General features: G+C 42.7%; 1 protein-coding gene across 4 annotated transcripts in view, besides 2 other annotated features; it reads right to left on the bottom strand.

Moving 5' to 3' along the window:
• The window catches only part of GNG12 (G protein subunit gamma 12), a 131993-nt gene that overhangs the window by 5417 nt on the left and 103758 nt on the right, over positions 1–22818 (bottom strand). For all 4 annotated transcript variants that reach the window (NM_018841.6, XM_047425406.1, XM_047425415.1 and 1 more), the window contains one exon: positions 703–821. In NM_018841.6, coding sequence (NP_061329.3) covers positions 703–795 — 93 coding nt within the window. In that variant the 5' untranslated portion in view covers positions 796–821. The remainder of the gene's footprint in view (positions 1–702; positions 822–22818) is intronic.
• Positions 1432–1932: an enhancer, noted in NCBI's record as "H3K4me1 hESC enhancer chr1:68174006-68174506 (GRCh37/hg19 assembly coordinates)". NCBI's record gives its function as "activates a minimal SCP1, AML or CMV promoter by ChIP-STARR-seq in naive H9 embryonic stem cells {active_cell/tissue: H9 hESC(naive)}" and the evidence as "EXISTENCE:reporter gene assay evidence [ECO:0000049][PMID:30033119]".
• Positions 6515–6809: a silencer, noted in NCBI's record as "tiled region #6234; K562 Repressive DNase unmatched - State 5:Enh". NCBI's record gives its function as "represses a minimal TATA promoter and a strong SV40 promoter by Sharpr-MPRA in K562 cells {active_cell/tissue: K562}" and the evidence as "EXISTENCE:reporter gene assay evidence [ECO:0000049][PMID:27701403]".

Below are 22818 nucleotides of genomic sequence, written 5' to 3' on the forward strand. Positions count from 1 at the left end.
TCAGGTGATCTGCCCGCCTCGGCCTCCCAAAGTGCTGGGATTACAGGCGTGAGCCACCGCGCCTGGCCAACTGCTTCAGTTTCAAGGAAGAACTAGTCATAACATTCCAGGGCACTCACTGCCTAGTTCTCTCTTGGGATTTAGGGGAAAAGACTTCGAAGTCAGGTGATCTAAGAAATGCATTCCAGTTTCTCTATGGGATCTCAACTAAAGCTCGCATTATTACTCTGGGCACAGAAAGTGGTCACTGAGGGCCAAACACATTTAAAAGCTTCATTTCCCTAAAAAGGAAACCTAGACTGCTGACTTCTTACGTGAAGCTGCCTCAGCTGCACTGATAATTCTAGAACACTTAAATTCCAAAGGAATGACTAGGGTGTTTATGAAGTCTACTTGGAACCCCTGTCCCACTTTAGAACACAGGGATCAACGGACTTGACCATGTTCATTCAGGGGAGACAGGTCCTTAGGAAATCCTGTCCAGAGTTTTACAAACAGAGAGGCTAATGCAGACACTTTTGAAGTGAGGCCCATGCTATATAGGAAAATGAAAGTTAGGATTTTGAGACTCTCAGCCTGTTCTGGAAAAATCCTGGAAGCAAGCGGAATGAAATGGTATTATCTTCTCTGACAAGTGGTCCAGCCACAAGGAACAGGGGGAACTGAGCAGAAAGCATATGTTATCCAGTCGGGGCTTCTTACCTTTATTCTTTCAATGGAGGCTTCTAATCTTAACTGCTGCACAGTTCTCCTTGCCTGGGCTATATTGTTGGTGCTTGCTGTTTTGCTGGACATCTTCAATTATTGTTTTTACCTGAAATCTGAGGAGAATTTTTTTTAAAGACAAGTAACAGGCATCTTTAAGTTATTTAAACATTCATAATAATATGTTCTACTTAAAGGGAAATAGATGGATTTTCCTAGTCATCACAGCTTCTTGGAGGCAGTTACTAAAACACCCCTTAGAAATTCGAGTGGTGACCTAGGTATCTAAGTTTGTCATCCATTTGAGCACCTACATAAATCTTTAGTTTGCAGAAACCCAGCACTAGCAGTTTAATCGATGCACCCCAACATATAACACAAAACTAGACTTTTCTAGGATTTCCTAAGAGGAAACAAATACGCAAACACTTGTAGCACTTAGGGGACCTGTGGCAAAAGTGAGCATTTGCTATGGGAGGCATATTACATGTCAGTTTAATATTACTGCTACCTACTTTCACAGAAGGTTTGATTTCATTTCTTTTGGGCTCTTGCCCCCAACTATTAGGCTGATCAAAGACTTGGCAACAGAAAATGAGAAGAGAGCTCCTCTAGAGAACTTTGAATAAAGGGTGCTTATTTTTAGACACTATCATGATGTGGAATCGTTTTGAAAGTGTTAGGCACATAAGGAAGTCTTTATTCATGAAAGAGTGAAAACTTTCAGTGGAGACTCTCCGTGATAGATCCACTGTAAATGTCAGGTGGGATATATGAGTAGCCTACAGTCTGAAATAATTAATAAAACGTTATTATTCCCTCCTTTGACCTCTCCCTGGTCTCATCGTGATGGTCTGGGCACTTGCTAATCCTATTACTCCATCATATGTTCGTGGATTGATTCTCCTCTCTAGCCTGAGCTGTTGGCCTCTAGGCTGCCCTGCTGCCCTCTCTCCTTAGCCACCTGGTGTAAAGCAATGGAAACAGAAACATCCTGGCCCTTGCTTTACAAACTGGTTGTCCAATAGCACATTTCAAGAGGAAGGCAGGCTGGGGGAAAAGTGTTGCCTGGTGCCCTGACCTATATGGCTAAGTTCATTCTCATCAGGGTGGCAACTGAAGGAAAACGCAGGGCTGGCAGGCCTGGTAGCAGTGTGGCAGTTTTATGACTCATGGGAGCAGGTGGACAGTAGGTGTGCCTCCCCGGCGCTATGTGAGGGCTCAGCAAAGTCTTAGGGCTCCGTGGCGCCAGCAGCAAACCCAGGCTGACTCAACCTTTTGGAGAGGCTACAGCTGAATAATGTAATTCTGCCATAAAGGCCGAGACCAGACAAAGCTGCAAAAAAACACTAGCAACCCAGACTCCAGGGCATCCATCACGTGGGCACCACGGTGCTCCACACTGAGTTCTACCAGACTTAGAATATTCCCAAAGGCCGAGTTCTACGACTTGGGTAGGGCTTGTAGCCTCTGTGGTCAGAGGAAGTTTTGGGTCAAATGCACAAATAAAATTGTGCTTTTAACTGTGTGCAAAATTTTGAAATCAGCCTAATAAGCAACCTTCACATTCCAAAGGATTTTTTGGGGGGATTCAATTTACCGTTGCACATCAAGTGTTTTGCATAGGACCAAGGCATTCCATGAACTGCAGCTGCTAGTATTTTTATCCTTGGGGGTCACATACTGCACAGTGAATTGCAGTTCCCTGTTTACCTGTTTGTTCTGCACCTCCCCAACAAGTGGTCAATGAGCCTCAAGGGTTTTGATTGAGCGGGTATGGGTGGGGCTATCGGCACCAGCCCTTTTTAGAGTCCCTGGGCAATTTGTGCCACTAGTGTCAGAGCCCAATGCAAAGACTAGTGACAGCCATCAGAGGATTTCCCTAGGAATAAGGAAGCTCTAGCAGTACAGAAAACTAGGAGGATGAAGCATGTGGCAGGGCAGGGTGGGCTTGCCTTGTGCTAAGCCTTGGACAAGCTCATTTCAACACATTCCCAGAGTAGCTACCTCTTCCTCGGATTCCTCAGTCATCCCTGCCCCACCCAAAAGAGAGGCCTAGGGTCTCTCTGATTCTGCTCACACCGAGTGGCCTGGCCCAATCCCTTTCTGTGCTCCCAGACCAGCACTTACTAACAGAGCCTCTGAAATGCAACTGAGGAAGTAGGCAACCTCACCCTGAACAGTGTGCAGTGCTCTGACTCACAGCAAGTTGCAGATATATATATATATAAATATATATATATTTGTATATATATTTATATATATATAGTTATATATATATTTATATATATAGTTATATATATATTTTTATATAGTTATATATATAGTTATATATATAGTTATATATATATAGTTATATATATAGTTATATATATAGTTATATATATATAGTTATATATATAGTTATATATATAGTTATATATATAGTTATATATATATAGTTATATATATAGTTATATATATATAGTTATATATATAGTTATATATATATAGTTATATATATAGTTATATATATAGTTATATATATAGTTATATATATAGTTATATATATATAGTTATATATATATAGTTATATATATATAGTTATATATATAGTTATATATATATAGTTATATATATAGTTATATATATATAGTTATATATATAGTTATATATATATATAGTTCCCTGCAGCAAGTAAAACTGGGCTCCCCTTCCAACTGGCGCTGGTTCTGAGGCCCCCAGAATGCGAACATGACACCCTTTCTCAGTGACCTGTGGTTTCTATGTTGCACCCTAAGGACTTTCTAAATGTTCCCTTTGCATGAGGATAAGGTCAAGCATTCTCTTCTTCCCAATCTCCAGGGCATAAAGTTTCCAAGGCCTGAGCAAGTTTTCCAGTAACTGCAGAACAGTTCACACATATCAGGACTGGACCAGTAATTGCTCCCACCCGGCATGGCCATTGGCAAGCAGTCTACAGTCAGACTCTATTAATATTTATAAAATGCTCGGGTAGGTCCCTCTAAAGTTGGCGAGACACTCAGCATTTAGTACATGAAGGTCTTTCTTACTTCCTGACTATATTATAGTCAAGACTAAAAACAGCCAGCAATTCATGATTCACACTTGCCAGCTCAGGCTTCTTGCAGCTTTCCCTCATTCTGATATCTGCGTTCAGACCTGCTTCTTCAGAGGGCTTTCTCCAACCTCGTTACTCAGAGGCTCCCTGCTCCCTTCCAATGGGGTATTCCTGCTGGTCCCAGGCTCGACAAAGTCCATGCAACACATTTTTAATTGAGTACTACTGCTACTAAGTACAATATGTTGAGAATAAATGGGTAGGACAGGCACACAGCTCCTGCCCTCACAGAGAAAACGTTAAACAAGCCATTAGACAACCCCTTCTGCTTCAGGCATAGCCTAGCCCCTTCTCCTGCTCTGCTACCCCTCTCAGGCTCCTAACTCAATTTCTCTTCTGAAAGTCCCTTCTCATCTGCTGGTACAAACATGGATAGCCTCACCCAGAATACAAATTAAAGTTTAGGAGATAGGTAATTTTTACACCTTCATAGATTTATTAAACACAAACAACTTTCTATGAATATTGTATAGCAATTGCTTTGGGAAGTCGATTAAATGGGGGTAACTGTGATTGCAGGGGAATGAAAAATGACTTCCCTCTACCTTTCTCAGTTCTATGGCTGGGCTACAAATTAACCTGACATATAAACAGGTTGACAGGAGGAAAACTGTATTTAATTATGTATGTACACACGGGAGTGCCACAAATATGAGACTCAAAGTGGTCAGATGATGAAAGCTCACATAGGATCCTGAGCTACAGAAAAGAATGGGAGTTCAGGGTTTCTCGGGGGGGTGGTGGCAACGAGTTATGGGAGGTAAGGGGAAGAGATAAATGGTGAATAAAGGTGGTTTTCTCATGCACACAGAAATTCTCAGTTAATACAAGTTGTTTCACAGCAGCCCTCGGAAGAAGAGGTGACAGTCTGTCTGGGTGTGGTATCACCTCCAGTCTCCCCTCTTGGGATCCGAGTTAATCTTTCCCAGTTGATAAGATTTCTGGGAGAATATTTGTGACAACTAAGTTCCTTTTGGAGGATCTGTCTTTAGGCCGATAAGGGGAGCTCAGAGAATGCCTCTGCCTACATCTGCTGTTCCCCAAGTGTCCTCAGTTCAAAGTAATCAGCACACCAAAGTGTTATATTTTGGGTGGCATTTCCTGAACTCCTTCATGGTCATTCTTAGAAAAAGCTGTACACTGGGCCACTGGAAAGGAAGATAATTTCTGATCATAACATTCTTCCTATGGAGAAAGCAGATCAAAATTAGACCGTTTCAAGTTAAGGAGCCTCTGGTTTGCTGAGTTGCCACATGGCTGCACAAAGAGGGCCACTGTGTGATCCCTGAGAGGCAGAGGTGTTTACAGGAGCTGGAGTTCTAGCTAAGGACTTCCTTCCGACTTGCAGCTGCTCTGCAGCTCCTCAACAGCTGGGCTGTGCACAACAAGATAGAAAGCCTGGGGAAACAAATATCTCCAAATATCTCTGTGCCTTTGGAGGGTTTTCTTTGGTCTTCCCTCAGTGGTGAGGATGTCTGGCTGTTTTTTCTACTAGGTAGATAAAAAGCTTGCTTTATTCTTACACCAAGAATAGCTTCCAAGGCAAACAATACCTGATATTTGTATGGAACCTGTGAGCACACATGTTGCTTGCATATGCATTATTCCATGAAGCCTCACTATAATCCTGAAAGGTTTCTTATTAGATGAGGCAATCAAAGTTAGAAAATCTTGCTTCAAAAGTTAACCCAGGCTGGGCACGATGGCTCACACCTGCAATCCCAACACTTTGGGAGGCCAAGGTGGGAGGAACACTTGAGTCCAAGAGTTTGAGACCAGCCTGGGAACATAGTAAAAACTAGTCTCTACAAATAATAACAAAAATAATTGCCAGGAGTGGTGGCACATATCTGTAGTCCCAGCTACTCAGGAGGCTGAAGTGGGAGAATCGCTTGAGCCCAGGAGGTTGAGGCTGCAGTGAGCTGTGATCATACCATTGCACCCCAGCCTGGGTAACAGAGCGAGACCCCCATTTAAAAAAAAAAAGTTAACCCAGTTCGTAAGCCTTTTCATTCTAGAAGCCACCCTTCCCACTGCGCCAAGGAAAGGATTAATTCCAATTAGTTTGATTCATAAACACTCAGGGCATCAGTGAATGCTCTACCATGTGGTTCTTTTTTTTTTTTTTCCCCTCTTTTTTTGAGATGGAGTCAGGCACCTGCCACCAAGCCTGGCTAATTTTTGTATTTTTAGTAGAGATAGGGTTTTACCACGTTGACCAGGCTGGTCTCGAACTCCTGACCTCTGGTGATCCGCCTGCCTTGGCCTCCCAAAGTGCTGGGATTACAGGCATGAGCCACCACGCCTGGCCCACTATGTGGTTCTTAATCAGGGGTGACTGACACGCGGTGACCTAAAGTAGGGGGCTTGCTGATTGCCTTGTGTTTGTGTAACACCTCCCTTCTCATGCATGCAAGCTAAACAAGACAGTTTCGGCTCCTAGACAAGGACTGAAGTTAGCATCTGCAGATCTTGAGCCACCAAGTATTCTATCCCACCCAGAAGGGCCAAGGCCTGTGCATGCCTGTGCAGACTGCCAGTCGGATAACACTCTGGCTATCACTTCTGCAGCCTTGCTTTCATTTTTGCATATGGGTAACAGATTTGAATAAACACATGTAGTATTTAGCTATTCAAATACTTCGCATTGGTTTTAATGCTGTGTTTCATCTGAATTCTCAGGTTCCTAGAAATTCCTAGGAACATGATGGTCCATTAGGGAAATATGGGTATTTTCATCTTTGTCAAGAGGGGCCTGAAGCAGGGAGAGCAGGGTGGGGATGGAAAGAGTGTCACAGAGCACACTCTGGGAGGAAGGCACCAGGAAGCCCCAGGGTCTGAATCACAAGCCATTATGGCCTGGCCAGTAATTGAATCACTGGAGTGAAGCCAACTTTCATGAGCAAACACACCCATGTGGCTGTAATAAAAGAGCAGGTTAAAAGAAAAAAAAAAGCCACTGGCTCCCACTTACTCTCTGGTCTTGCCTTCAACTTTCAATGTCTTTCTCTAGCTCTTTATCTGCCTCTTCTTCTGTAAAAGAGGGACTACAATGCAGACCTCATAGGGTTGTCAGGGGAGAAACAGAAGCACCTTCCCTTGCACATACAAATGTTTACTAAATGCCGGCCCCTAGGCTCACTAACAAGATGAAAAACATGTGCTTGGTGGGAAATGAAAAAGATTCCAGAAACAACAGAAGAATTTCAAGGTAATGTGACCAGGTAGCAACAGCTATCTAATGTGGCCTTACTGAGTAGGCAGAGTTAGGTTCTTAAGAATAGTTCCTCTATTTTCATGAGCAGTTCTTATTTATATCAAAGCCTGCAGGCTAAATCCAGGCTGCAGATGTGTTTGGTTGGGCCCCATACAGTGTTAACTCCATTGTGTGTGTGTGTTTTAACTTTAAATTGAATGTCAACGTTTGAAAAATGGAGAGATTTCCTTTTAAAAGGAAGACTTCTGGAAAAATCAGAAAATCCTATAAAACTGGGCTGGATCTGAGCAGCAGCTGCCCCTTCAAGCATTTGCTGGTACACCTGCCAGGCCCTCTATTTGAACTTGTGGCACTGCCTTTACACTATGCCTTGGATATTTAGTTCCAGGGACACATTCAGGGATTCGCCGGGGGCATCTGGGCTCACTCCCGTCCTGCCACTTCCCAGATCTAAGGCCTTGGGAGAGGACTGATAACGTATTTAAGCCTCAGCTTTCTCATTGGAAAAATGGGGATAACAATACTTTCCTATCTCAAAGAACTGTTAAAGAGCATCAGATAAAATAAGTATGTGAGTGTAATAAACACAAAGGATACTTGGTTTCCGAGTGTTTAGTATCTGCATCCTCTTACACACTGTGTGAAGTACACCCAGCACTTTGCATTCCTCAATGGACTGGAGCCAGGCAGCAGTTCTACCCTCCTCCTAGCATGCCTCACTGGACTGCGGGGCTGGAAAGTGGAAAACTACATCTTCCAGTGGGATGGGCTGAATTGTGTCCCCCAAAATTTATATGTTGAAATCCTTACCCCCAGTAATTCAGAACATGACTGTACTCGGAGACAGGGTCTTTAAGGAGGCAATCAATTTAAAATGAGGTCATTAATCCAAAATGATTGGCATCCTTATGAGAACGAGAAATTTGGACATAGATGGGGACAGAGAGAAGACCATGTGAACGCAGAGGGAGAAAACGGCCATCTTTTGTTTGTTTGTTTGTTTTTGAGATGGAGTTTCACTCTTGTTGCCCAGGCTGGAGTGCAGTGGCGCGATCTCGGCTCACTGCAGCCTCCACCTATTTCAAGCGGTTCTCCTGCCTTAGCCTCCCGAGTAGCTGGGATTACAGGCACCCGCCACCACACCTGGCTAATTTTTGTATTTTTAGTAGAGATGGGGTTTCACCATGTTGGCCAGGCTGGTCTTGAACTCCTGACCTCGTGATCCACCCGCCTCACCCTCTCAAAGTGTTGGGATTACAGGCGTGAGCCACTGTGCCTGGCCTCGACCATCTACTAATAAATGCCAAGAGTGAGGCCTCAGAAGCGGCCAACCCTGCCAATGTCTTGATCTCAGACGTCTAGCTTCCAGAAATGTGAGAAAATTCATTTCTGTTGTTTAAGCCCCCTGGTCTGTGGCAGTTTGTTATGGCGTTCCTAGCACACTATCACACTCAGGTTTTCTTGATGTTAGAGCTCCAGATGACACAGTCTCTGTCAATTCAATGCGTTTAGGAGCGATCTGGCAGGTAGAAGTGAGGAGGCCAGTTTCTTGATGCTTGGGTTATTTCTGCTGACAAGCAGGGTGGTGGGCAAGCTGCTCTTAGGGCAAGTGGAGGCATCATAGTGTCCAGTCACTAGCAACACAGGACTGAGAAGCTGCATGGCTGCAGCAGCCTCTTGAGTCTCTACTCCCCACTGGGCACCCGTGGGCAGTTCTGCAGTGGTGTCTTGGAGTTGTTCCCAGGGACTGTATCGTGGGCCTGCTCCTCCAGCCCCTTCCAATGATTGTACAAGCACCTAATTCTCTTTATTGAAGCTCATTCTGCTAACTTTGCCAAGATCACCTTCTGTTTGCTGTGACTGAACCTTGGCTGATTCACAATTGTTAAATCTGTTGCTTTGTAAACTGCAAATAACTTATAAATATTAGCTATTATTTGGATTATTACCATGCCATCATTGCTGGACATCCCAAACTCTAAAACTTGAAGGGAGGAAGGAGTTAAGACATAAAATTCTTTCTCTTTCTCCCCAAAGTTGCAGGTTATGAGGCCAGGGTGCTTGAACCTGCGGTCAGCTGCAAGTGCTGCCCTGGTCTGGCATAGTTATGAGAGCAAAGAGCAAAAGAGAACATGTTGCTGGCTTACAGGCAAGGCAAATGAGAGGGAGAGATGAGGAGGGGCTGCACAGAGAGGTGGGAAATGTGGTTTCGGGTAGGGAAGACAGAGTGTCTAGAGCTTTACAAAGAGAAGTTTACATAGGTTCACAATCAGCAGAATGAGAAAGAATGAGAACACCTCTCTCTGAAAACCTCAACAGAGCTCATTCTGTAAAAACAGCAGGCTTTCAGATTTGGAAATCCTTTTGAGGTCCCTATCTGGTGTCTTTCATTAGTTGATTTTATCTGCCATCCAGGGTACATGTCCCTGAATAATAATAATAAAGATAATAAGTTATAATGATTAATTTTGACAATTACCACCATTTACTGAGTGCTGAGTCTGTGCCAGGTAAGTAAATTCCATGCAGCATTGCATTTAAGTCTGTCAACAACTCTAAGAGATGAATCCTATTATTTCTGTTTGACAGATGAAGCAGAGAGAGGTTAAAAAATTCTTGCCCAAGATCACACAGATTTACATGGCAGAGACTCAGGGCTACCTGGCTCTCAAGATCATGGTCTTACTTACCACCCTTTGTTGCCTGCCTCTGAACAGCAAGAATACAAGGAAGGGGCTGGGAGAAAGGAGAGGCCAAGTATCAGCCAGAAGCACTGAATACAGAAGACATGGCCTCCATTCAGGGGTTGCTGTTATTCAGACAGGTTATCCCCATAGCAAATCAGCAGGAAGCGTGAAGGCAAGTGGCTTTGACAGAAGACCCAAGCGAAGGAGAATCAATTGTTCTTATTTCTAAGAACAACTGCCCCAGATTCTACATAGGAATATTGCTAAAGACACAAGATGATTCTCCTGTGCCCAAGAGAAGTTGGCAAGGATCCATGAGAATGAGCCAATCCTCGGCAATAAATCCAGAGGAGAGTGAGCTGCAGAGCCTGGGCAGCGAGTTCCTCACTTCACTGTGTGTCTAGAACACCTGGGGCACTTGTTTAAGAAAGTCTGATTCAGTAGGGCTGGAGAAGGGCCCACAGATCTGTATTCAAAGGCCTCCTAGATGATTCTGATATAGGTCCTCTGAAGAAATGGCTTATGGTATGATCAGAGTCTCCGCCTCTTGATCCTCCCCATGTTTATTCCTGCCTGGGGATTAAAAAATGTCAATTTAAAAGGACACTACTCGGCCGGGTATGGTGGCTCATGCCTGTAATCCCAGCACTTTGGGAGGCCGAGGCAGGCAGATCACTTGAGGTCAGGAGTTGAGACCAGCCTGCCCAATATGGCCAAACCCTGTCTCTACTAAAAAAAGGAAAAATCAGCCGGGCGTGGTGGTGCATGCCTATAGTCCCAGCTACTGGGGAGGCTGAGGCAGGAGAATCCCTTGAACTCAGGAGGCAGAGGTTGCAGTGACCCAAGATTGCACCATTGCACTCCAGCCTGGGCGACAAAGTGAGACTCTGTCAAAAAAAAAAAAAAAGGACACTACTTTTTTTCTGTGCTTAAGTTTTCAAAGCTCTGAATAAGCAAAAATTCTAACTTCTTTTAATTACCTTAACCTACAGGATTAAGTGTTCTTCAGACTGAAATTTTTCTTACCATTTAACATACTTCTTTGCTACAAAAGCCTGATTTTGTTAACAGCCATTGCTTTCTGAAAAGCATCTCCTCCCTGGCATCAGTGATGCTAGACTCTCCTGTTCTTGCCCTGTCCAGTGATATTCCTTTGGTACAGCTCTCGCTCCTTCTCCTGAGTAGGTATTCTCAGGGGCTGGAACTCTAGCACAGTGAACATGTGCTTTTATAGCCAGATAAATTCAAATCCCGGCTCATCACTTATTACGCTAAGTTGCTGTACTTCTCTGGGCCTCATTCGCTCATTTGTAAAATGGGAAGGAATAACAATAGTACTTACCTTAAAGAGTTGTTACAGGATGAACTGAGAGAGCACATATGAGTTGCTCAGCACGTGCCTGACATGCACTGGTCCTCAGGAAAGGCAGATGATGCTCTCTCCACCCTATGACTTCAGCTATGACCAACCCACTTCACATGCAGCCCTGACCCTTCACCTGAATTCCAATGTGTAAATGACAGCCTGTTTAATTTTAAGCTTGAATGGTCCACAGTTGCTTCAAACACAACACAGGTAAAACCCAATGAAACACCACCGTCTACCCTCAACCTGACCACCACTGTCCTGGTCACAGAGGCCTCCTTTTGCTTCTGCCCTCTTTCTAACTCCTCAGACCATCTTTGTCCTATAAAAATGTGAGCCACGTATGTGATTTAAAATTCTTTAGTAGCCATATTAAAAAAAAAAGTGAAATTAATTTTATTTAGCCCAATATGAAAAAACTGATATGTAATCATTGTAAATATTATTGAAATGTTTTTTGTACTAAACCTATGAGACCTGATAAATATTCTATACTTGCAGCACATCTCAATTTGGACATGATAGTGGCTGCCTTACTAGACAGTGTGACCTGAAACTCTGGACTCTGAAAATCTTAAATTCTCCACTTTGACAACCCACCCCCACCCCCAACCCATTTTAACTTTCCCCATTCTCCTGTCTTCTATTTTACCTGAGTCTTGGCTCTCTGCAGCTCAGGTCAGGGCTACCGCCTGAGCCTTGTAACAGCACTCCTGCCCCTAATCCTTCTTCAATCTGATCTACCCTGACCACTATGCTCAGATATAGTACCCCTTTCAGTTTGGTCCTCTCTGGCTTTCCCAGGAACCCCCAGGAAAAGTCCAAAGGGCTTGGCTTCACACTCAAGATCCTCTCTAATGTTTTTGCCACCATAATAAAAATCCTAATAATAAAGCAGCTAATTTCTACACAGAGCTTACTATATGCCCATCAATGTCAATACATTATCCTACTGAATCCTCAAATGGCCCTGTGAGGTAAGCTCTATTTTCATGCCCATTTTACAAACGAAGAAACTGAGGCACAGAGAGGTTAAATATGTGTCTTGTGTCAAACAGCTAGCAAGCTGCTTGGTTGGGATTTGAGACCAGGCAGGCTGATTCCAGAGGCCCGGTGCAGAACCTCTATTGCTATACTGTCATAGTATCAGGGGAGTGTTACCCCATTTCCTGGCTTCATGGGCTGTGTTTAAAGTCTCACCTGCGAGCCTCCACTCCAATTCTCTGTCTTCTTCTCTTGACCTATTTAAATTCTCCTTTTGTAGGCCCTAGTTCACATCACCTCTTCCAAGGACGGTCTGTCTCCCTAATTAATTTTGTTTATAGTAATTAATTCCCTTCATGAATTCCTGCTACATGCTTACATCTTATGGGTTCAAGGATTCCTGAGGGTGGGTCATGAATGCAAAAGGTGGGCATGGGGAGTTGTGCACTAATGCCCTAAAACTGTATGCAAAATCTGGTGTGTGTGCTTATGTTTTGCTTTTTTTTGTTTTCCGAAGGACAAGATTTATAGCCACCGTCAAGCTTTCAAAAAGGTCTATAACACCATTTATTTCAATGGTTAATTGTATGTTATTTAGTGCCTACTGTGTATAAATATTGTCTTCCCACTGTTGGCTTGGTAATAATATAGCAACTACACTTATTCATTACTATATGCCAGCTACTGTGTCAAGTACTCTGTGCAGATACTAATTCATTTGATATTTTCTGCAACTATAGGAGGTTGGGTTTATCATACCTACTGAGATCAAAAGCTCAGGACAGTTGCATAATTTGCCCAAGATCATACAGCTATTACATGGCAGAAAGAGGATTTCAACCCAGATATCTGACTTTAAAGCCATGCCCTAAGCAGACAGCTGAGTTATCCCATGCCATCTTCTCTCATATTGACTAATGTGGAGAATGAGGCCTCAATTAAAACTGGATTAGATTAAGACATGCGATGTAGCAACCAACACATCAGCCAGCCTGAGTCTCGCACCCTGGGTGTTTGCGTGCCCAGTGTTTGTTTTCTTAGAAACAGGATACACCTTGCTGCTCCTTCCTACAAGTATCCCGTGAAATACTGACTGTTCTGAGCCCACAGATGCTCACTTGCTTGGTGGCCTGCACAGCTCTGAGAAGCCTGGGTGGAGCTTCTGATGTTTCCATGCATTTGATTAGGGCCAGTTGCTGGTGCTCTGAACTTTCACCTCCAGCATGAGATGGCCACTTGTGTGGCACCAAGATTCCAAGGGACCATGCACACTCATCCTGTGCCCCAAATAAGTTTTCAGCTGGTGAAGGCGGGCCCATGGGGAGTAGCCCTCGGATGGGGACCCATGAAGGAGTGGAACTTAGCCCCTTCTGTGCTCTGCTGGACCAGAATCCAGTAACACACAGACATGTGTTTACAGTCAACACTAAGAATGACGTTTACAAACAAGTTTTACTCTCTAACTAGTATAGCAAGACGGCTGACAAAAGATTTGCTGATATCTGCATGGCTGGCTTAGGAGAGCCAGATATCTCATGTGCTTATCCATAAATGAATAGATGAATGGATAAATTCAGCAATTATTTAATATTGAAAACAAAAGCTAACATTTAGAGTGCTTTTTCTGTGCCAGGCACTGTGTTAAGGGCTTTAGATAAAATTATTTTATTTACTCTTCACAACATCCCTGATAAAGGCATTACTATTATTCATTAACTAGTTTTCAAATTCTAAAAGAATATATACATGAGCAAATAATTTAAACAGTCTAAAAGGTTATACGACAAAAACTAGGTCTCCTGGTACTCCTGGCTTTCCCAGGCAACAACTGTTATCAGCTTTTCCTGTTTCCTTCTGACATCCCATGCATATATAGACATGATTATGCTTATATCTGTCTTTAAAAATAGAAATGGGAGCATATTATACACATTGCTCTGAACCTTGTCTTTATTTTGATTAATAATATATTCTTAAGACCATGGTAAAGTTAGTTTTATTAACCCATTTTCCAAGTGAAGCTCTCAGAGATACCTAGTTAATAAGCTCCAGGGCTGACATGAAGCCTGGTGCTCCTAGCCATCACTCCACACTGCAGGCCTCCTGCATCCCTCAGAAAGCTTCTGAGCCTGCAGAGAGGAAGTGGGAATGATCAGGGAAGCAGAAGAAAAAAATTCCTGCCCTAAAAGAACTCACTGCTTTTAGGAGCAAACAATACTATATGAAGTGAGAGAATATTTCCAAACAACTTAAGAATATATCCAGGACACAGGTTCACAGTACTCCAAGGTGCTAAGCATGTGTGAAGGAAGGAGCCCCAGAGTGGAGTGACTCCAGCAAGGAAGTCCGCTACAGCTATGGTTCTAAACGCGTGGTCACACCAGCCAGCAGCATGAGCATCGCCTGGGAGCCCCTTAGAAATGCAAATCCACAAAACTCATCCCAGATCTACTGAATCAGAAACTCTGGGAGTGGGCCTGGCAGTCTGTTTTAACAATCCTTATGAATGATTTTGATGCTCCCTAAAGCTTAAGGACCACCCCACTAGAAGGAGGTAATTTCTAGATAGAGCTTTTCAACAGAAGGATGATCCAGCTATCAAGTAAATTAGCATCAGTCTATTTAAGCCAAGATTGATCCATATTCTTAGCATTATCCTAGGACTAAGCTGAGAATGGGGGATACACAGACAGACCCTACATCTTAAGAAGGTTATTCCTGGCAAGGGACATAATATCAATCTGCCTAAGAAAAGAGGCAGAATATTCCAAATTCCCTGGTTGAGGGCTCTACCTCTTATCTGTGATGAAGTGGTCTGTGGCCCTTTTGATACCTAAACCCAGACAACTTGTAATTCCCTACGTGACCAACTGGGATTCCTTCCCATCAGCATTCCTGCTCTCTGCTCCCCTGGCTGAGCAGGGCTGGAGGTTGTCTGAAATGGAATCCTTTACCCTGGATATTGCCCACAATGTAGCTAATCTACCCCCAGTTCTTGGTGGGCTGACAAAGCAGAAGAACACAGAAAGAACAACAGAGATATTTATGATTCTAGTCTTAAAGCCCTAGCATCTGACCCACATTAAGAAGAGGGCATGCTTTCTAATATTGCTAAGCAAATAGGAGCTCACCCACTTCCTTAGAATGCACTTAAAAAAAAAGAAACCGAAAAGCCCAAACACCTGATGGGAGGGTTGAAAATGAGGCAACTGGCACATGGTGCTGCATCCATTTTAGGAGAAGAGAAATTAAATTCCTAGGGAGCCATTCCTCTGTGTTGAGTTGTGTCAGCTTCTTGAAGGGGCAGGAGAAATGGATTCAGGAGAGAAAAAGGCTGAGAAAGGACAGAGAAGAGTGTGTACAGCTCGCTGACATTTGCAGTCGCCAGCTGGGGCTGGGCTTCACCAACAAACAATGAATGTGGGCGACTGGGCTGGTGGTTAAAGGGCTTACAACTCCAGCACGATGGACTGAGTCCTGCACATAAATAAGGAATGTAAGTGGGTCAGTAAAACATGCCAAAGGCAAGCAGTAGGTGCTTAGAGAAAGGATGGTCAGTGAGGACTTGAGTAGCCAGAAGACAGATGGAGGAGAGAGGTCTTAAATGAGTCAATCCTTGAAGGGTAGGAACTTGACAGGTGGGGGTGGGGAGAATTTCAAAACAGTTACTGAGGGGAGTGGTAGACAGCAGATTAAAGTTAACTTTCTCATGTGGAATGGGAGCCACCAAAGGTTTCTGAGCAGAAAAAGCAGGCATAAGGGAACACTGTGGGGAAAATGATTGAGCAACCTCCTATGCAGGGTGGAACAGAAATGGGAGACAGTGAAAGACAAAGTAGACTATTTCCATACAAGGTTCAGGAGCAGGCAACATGGTCAGGGCTTGGGGTCAGATGAAACTGGGTTCAATTGGGATTCTGCCACTTAATGTTGTATAATATTGAACAAATCACTCTCCCTGAGCCCTCAGATTCTCTATCTGTAAAACAGGATAACAAGAGTGCCTATCTCACAGGACTGTAATGATTAAATAATAAAGAGGCAGCACATAGAAACCACCCAGTGTTCATCTATCTATCAAACATCATTATTATTAGGAGTTAGTGCATGAGATTTCAAACAGATGGAAGCAATTACAATGCAAAAAATTTTTTAAAAGCTGGATGTGAGAGCTGTGAAAATGTAAGAATGAATAAGACTCCATTCTTGGGGCTGAATGGGAGTGACAGCCCAGAAATGGCTGTTGATTTCCAAGGGGTGCATGAAGAAAAGTGCAGAGGATGGCTTTGAGCCTTTCTCACTTGGATGGGGATAGTAGGGCAGTTTCAAAGGAGCAGAGACAGGCTGAGGGAAGCCACCCTGGACAGGGCAACATCCTCACAAAAGGTAGGGAAACAGAGGGAGTGTTAGGGAGGAAGGGTAAGTTAATGCTGTATAAATACGTTTAGTTAAAAACATATTATACCAAGAAAACAGAAGAATGTACTTCAAGATGTAGCTATTGCCAGGTTGTATGAATTTTAGGGGATTTTTAGTGTTGTTTTCTATGTACTCTGGTAGTTGTGAGTTTTTCATTTTTTGGAATTAAGAGTTAATATTTATATACCACTTACACTTGCCAAGCATTGTTCTAAGGGCTTTACAGATATTAACTTAATTTTCAAAACAATGCTATGAGGTTATTCCCATTGTTCTTCCTAGTTTAGAATTAAGGGAACTGAGGGAGGCAGCCACTTAGAACACGGCCAAGGTCAGAAAGAAGGTTAATGGAGGAGTCAGCACTCTAATCCTGGCAGCCTGGCTCCTGATTCTATGCTCTTTAACCACATATGATACTTTTATGATTAAGAAAAGAAAAACACCTAGTAATTGTTATTCACAAAACCAGGGGGAGGAGTTATTAGTCACTTTACGGGGTAAAAGGAAGTAGAGGGCAAGAACAGCTCACAGATGACTGGGAGTTACTGGGGACTGCTGAGTAGTTTCCACAGCTTGAAGGGAATGGAGGTCAAATGATAAGGGGCTGAACACAGAACTATTAATTCAGGGACCAGGCAGTGACTACAGAGGAATATTTAGAAAAATTTGGCAGTGTAGTCAAGACAAGGAATTGTATCGAAACTTTCAGGGGCAGGAGGGTTGTTTCAGAGATGGTTGGCACTGGAGCATTTCCAGAAACAGAGGAGGAGAGTTGAGAAACTAGGGAGAGTGAAGATGTGCAAAGAGGGTAACTGAGAGGGCAGAAGGGGATGAGCTCAGGACTGCGCTCAGAAATTGGTCAAAAGAGGAGCTGATAAACCAGAACTGGAGGATACAGTGGTGGAAAAGCAGGAAGGAATGAACTGCTCATACAATACAGGTGAATCTCTCAGATATTATATTGAACAAAAAAGCCAGTTATAGAAGAGCATGCACTGTCAATTCCATTCGTTCATTCGAGACGAAATCTCACTCTGTCGCCAGGCTGGAGTGCAGTGGCGTGATCTTGGCTCACTGCAACCTCCGCTTCCCAGGTTCAAGTGATTCTCCTGCCTCAGCCTCCTGAGTAGCTGGGACTATGGGCATGTGCTTCCAAGCCCGGCTAATTTTTGTATTTTTAGTAGAGATGGGGTTTCACCATGTTCACCAGGCTGGCCTCGAACTCCTGACCTCAGGAGATCCACACACCTTGGCCTCCCAAAGTGCTGGGATTACAGGTGTCAGCCACCGCGCCTGGCCCAATTCTATTCATATAAAGTTCAGGAACAGGCAAAATGCATCTACAGTGATAGAAACTATAAGAGTACAGAGTGGGTGGGGATATGGATGAAGAAAGACTGGCTATGAGTTAGTTGTTAACTGCTGCAGCCAGGTCACTTCAACAATTAAACTGCATGAGGTTCATTCTACTTTTATATATGTTTGAAAATTAAAAAAATTAAAAGTCTATAGTCCTAAACATGTCATAACATATTATATGATAATTAACATTATCAGTTATTTTTATCATTATTTGTCATGAAAGAATGGAAGACACGTTAATTATTATCTACAATTTCCTTCTTTAGATCATGATCTAACAAGTATGTCCAATGTCCACAGCACAAAGGAAGCAGCTGCCTTTTGAGGGAGCATGGACAGGATTAAAAAAGCCACAATCTGGGCCCTCTGCCCATTTCACACAATGCTCAGGCTCTGGGTCACAGACATCCAATTTTTACTTGCCAGGAAGCATCATTCCTTGGAGGTACGCATGAAAAAGGAAAGGCCCAACACTGTGGTGCAGATACTCCTAACTTTGACATGCCAAAAAATGCAAAATAGGATACTTAATTTTTCTTTCTTCCCTCATCTCACCTTCTCCCATAACACGCTAGCAAGGAAACATGCCCTCACCACCTTTTAAACATGTCTGGATTTGAGGAAACATGTCTGTCAAACATGTCTGTACTTTGAAAAAGGTCAAAGTCTGTGGAATTTCTGGGGTGACCAGCAAGGTGAACATTTTGTGTTGGCCCTCATGGTTAAAGTACTTGTTTTGAGACTCACAGTATCTAAATGTTTATATATTTTCAAAGGGGAAAGGACTGATGATACAAGATGTTCCCAAGTCAACTTCTGACAGTTCTAACTCATTCCCTAAATTGATTAGAATTCTCTCTCTCTAAAAGCAAACTTGATAACAGCTTCTTTTTAAAAGTGTTACTTGAGGGAAAACATGGGACAGAAATCAAAGCAAGCCATTTAAAGTCCAAACCCAATCAGCAACATCAATACAATTTACATAACATGGCACCCATACAGTACGTTTATACTTTAGTTCACTGAGTTTTGTATTTCAGAATGTCTCCAGTTCATCTTAAGGAGTGACATAAAATTTCTCAGAAATATTATTTCAAGTTCATTAAAATTTTTCTTTAAATAGGTACAGAACTTTTAACATATGTGGTTGAGTCAAACAAAACATGACGGAGCATCACTTACAACAAATGAAAAGATGACACCAATTTAAATACTCATGTTACTATAAACAACTTGCTTGTTAAGTTTTACTCACTCAAATTTAAGAATATCACAAAATGAGAGCATGAAGTGGAATGGAGTAGGAGGATTCCTGTCTGTAATCCCCCTAAAAGAACTTCCACGGCTAATTTCAGCCTCAGGTTTCTTGGGCCAGACCTATTTGAAATATTCTGCTTCTTTTGGTATATCAGTAACTGACCAGGCCATGGGTCCCAAGCATTGGCTTTTTAAAACTATAGTCAGCAGACTTTTCACAAATATTGACATCTACTTCACCCATGAGAGTCTTTAAGTTGAATCCTCTATCTGATGGTGGGCACCTCATATTATATTGTGCTTTATATCTTCCATATGCAATACACAAAGAATAAGTATGTGCTGATTTATCATGAGTCACATGGATGGTCTTGGCAGGAAGTGACAGCTTTGTCATTCTTTTTCATAATTCAGGAAACACAGGAACAACATATGCCTTGGGTTGGGCACAGAGTGAGAACTCAATAAACACTTCATCCAGTGAAATGATGACACAGAAATCTGTGGCAGTGCTTTAGTTGAGTGATAAGGGCTTGAACCCAATGTGTGAAAGCCAGAATTTATGAAACAAATGAGATGATGTCACATTACAAAAAGATTCCTCCTAAGACTTTCCCAAATGTATTATCTATTGAATGAAAAGGTTAAGTCAGAGAAACTAATTGTTTAGCTTTTTTCTAGTTAAATATCAATTAGGAACTGTAATGCACATCTCTAAATCAAAATATAACATTTCTGCACAACATCTTGTGTGTTCTGAGTATAACTCTACTTAAGTTCCCAAAGTACATTACTAGTGCATGTGTTCTCATCATTCTTGTACTTGTGAAAGGGAGGGTGATATAGACTTTGGTTTTAGGATACCCACTACCTTTGGTTTCAGGCTACCCACTACCTTTGGTTTCAAAAGCCGCTCCTCTTCTGATGTCTGTTCTTGGTGTATTAAGGACAAATACTGGAAATTATACATGTGACCCTGCAAGCTTTGGAAAGAAAGAAGTGCGCCAAGTGCCTCCATTGCTTAAATCTGCCTGTGCAGGTCAATTACTTAAAGTGGAGGGAAATAGGGCTGCGTCCAAGGGTAATTCATCTTATGAGTGGCACTGGGCATAATATACACTTTAAAGCAAATCCTAACAGGTAATACAACAATATTATGCCTTTTATTTACTTACTTATTTAATTGCAAAGTTAATTAAACTTTTCTAGCACTCAATGGGTCCAGGGATTAAACTCCTGGGAGAGATCACAGGAGACCAGTATTTAGTTGTCTGTGACCAAATAAGAGTTTCAGAAAGTTGAAGCAAATTCTATACAAAGTCTGTTCTTGGAATGTTTTCACAAGTGTGTGAGATTCTTTGAAACACTTTTATGCAAAATGTAAGTCAAAATAAATGACATGTGTTTATATTACATGTAGAAATTATAAGATTGATTTTGGTAGATTGAATAAATACATGCATATAATTCTTATAAACAACCATTACCTGTCAGTGTCAGCATTTACAAATGAGCAGATCCGGCATTCGCATGATCTCTGGATGCATGTGCCTTCATGAGCTGGAGGGCTTTATAACTGAAAACGATTCCCAGCTGAATTCTGGGAAAACATACCTATGTGTCCCATGTAGATGCTGCCACATCTTTGTATGTCCCTTCTGCCTTTACCCAATGTAGAAATCTGGTATTGTATTTCTAATGTGGTAAGCCTGCTATAATAATAATGCCATCAAAAGATAGCAATTTACAAGGCGCTTTCTCATACCATCTATATTAGATAGGGCTAATTAATTACTTAATTTTATTTGCATTTCTACTTGTGGTCTTGCATGAACCTGTTGAATTTAGCATGCAAATTTATGTGATAAGTTTTTTTGCAGTTAATTGGAAAAAACAGAACCTTTTGCCTCATTAAGAATCCTGTTTCTTAGTGCCCTATCAGTTGCTTCTCCTCTTTTTAGTGTATTTTCACTTCTAATAATTCCCTGGACCTTAAACAGAGGAAAATATTGTTTTTCCCCTTTTAAACAGAACCATTTAATGACATTTTCTTAGAAGCAGATCATACCTGCACTTAAGAGGTAGGGCAAAATGAAAGACAGAAATCACAAAGCCACCAGAAGATGGATCCCTAACAGGGCTGCCTTTCAGAATCACCTGGGCAGCTCTTTTCATGCATCCAGGTGCAAGCCTCACCCCGTACCTCCAGAGTCAGAGTATCAGGGTAGGACTTGGCAAAAGTGCACTCTGGAAAAGCTCTGGATGAGTGTGAGCTGCACTCCTAGTTAAGAGCCATGGGACTAGAACACAGCAGAACTGTCAGTCACAATGCATGGTCTCCCTGATTGCTCTGTCTGGTGCCTTGTTCGAGTCACTTCTTTTTCTGGGTCTCAGCTTCCTCGTCCCCAACAAAGGAGAACAACAGAGATATTCTGCACCCCTTGTTTGCTTCTCTCTGGATAGCCCTCCCTTGCTTGCTCTTCAGAACTACTCAAGCCACCAATTTAAGCTTTTGATACTTATATGTTATCATAATGATCAATACGGGGACTGTAAATGTCACTAGGGTGAACCTTAGAGGTGGCACAACAGCTGCATCTAGTGCCTGACAGAAATATGCACACGGGGAAGGGAGACGGGTCAGCAGTTGGCAGCTTCTGAAGCCCCAGGAGACTTCACAATTGGGGACCAGCTTATGGGAGAGAGGCAGGGCAGGACAGCTTTCTTTACCAAGGGAGCTCTAAAGCAGAAACACATTCAGGAGAGAAAATAGTGTTAATGAATGTTTCAAGAAAATAGGCCCCCCCACACAGAAACCCCTCCTTTAGCCAGAATGGTTTGGGGAAGGGTATGACAGCAAGTTTTCTGGTTGAGTTACCATGTGCAAAGGCACCACTGTTGGTAGTTCAAAGAGAAATACACAGAAAACCTGGAACATAAGTGACAGTTAAGAGGTACCTCTGTGAAATTTCATGATTCTAGATAATGCTGAAGAACTCTTTGAACAAGTCCATCTTTTGGCACTGATACTGCTACCCTGGACTGCTCTCATTTCAGATCCTGGCCCTCCCTTGGGCACGTTCTTCACATTTCTGACAGGTGCTGCCCCATGTTCCGGGCTGACATCTTTCCTGCTCTGAGTGCTCTCAACTCAGTTGTCCTTGAAGATTTTGCCCGAGTGCATGTTTTTTCCTCACTTTGTCATCTCTCCTCTCATCCACCTCCAAGGGCTTGCAGAGGACTCTTAGATCTATCTATGGTCCTGGGGACCTGTCTGTGAGACCCCATCCTTTCATCCAGACGGCCTGCCAGGTCCTGGAACTGAAAAAGTCAAAGTGCCCTTCCTCTACACAGGAGGCCAGTTCTTTGGACTCAGCTTCTCTCTCTTTCTGCTAATAAAATAGCTTTTATTACAGTTATCTAGACTCAAAACTTTAGTTCTGTTTCTGAGACCACCACCTTTGCCCACTCGCAACCAGAGGTGATTAGCCCTATTGGTTCTATTTTCTAATCAGCACCTCCCTTCCGAGTCCCCTGCATCAACCTTTCACTCAGGCCCTCCCTTGATATGTGTTGGGAGATGATGGCAATGGCCTTGGTTTTCTTGGTTTCCCTTGTGCTCTATTCTAAGGCTTTTAATCCATCAGACTGTTGGCAAAAGCAAATTAAACAGGTATGAGCCAGCCTGCTCTGTTGGAGG

The sequence above is a fragment of the Homo sapiens genome, chromosome 1 (assembly GCF_000001405.40).
Source record: "Homo sapiens chromosome 1, GRCh38.p14 Primary Assembly".
Lineage (NCBI taxonomy): Eukaryota > Metazoa > Chordata > Mammalia > Primates > Hominidae > Homo > Homo sapiens.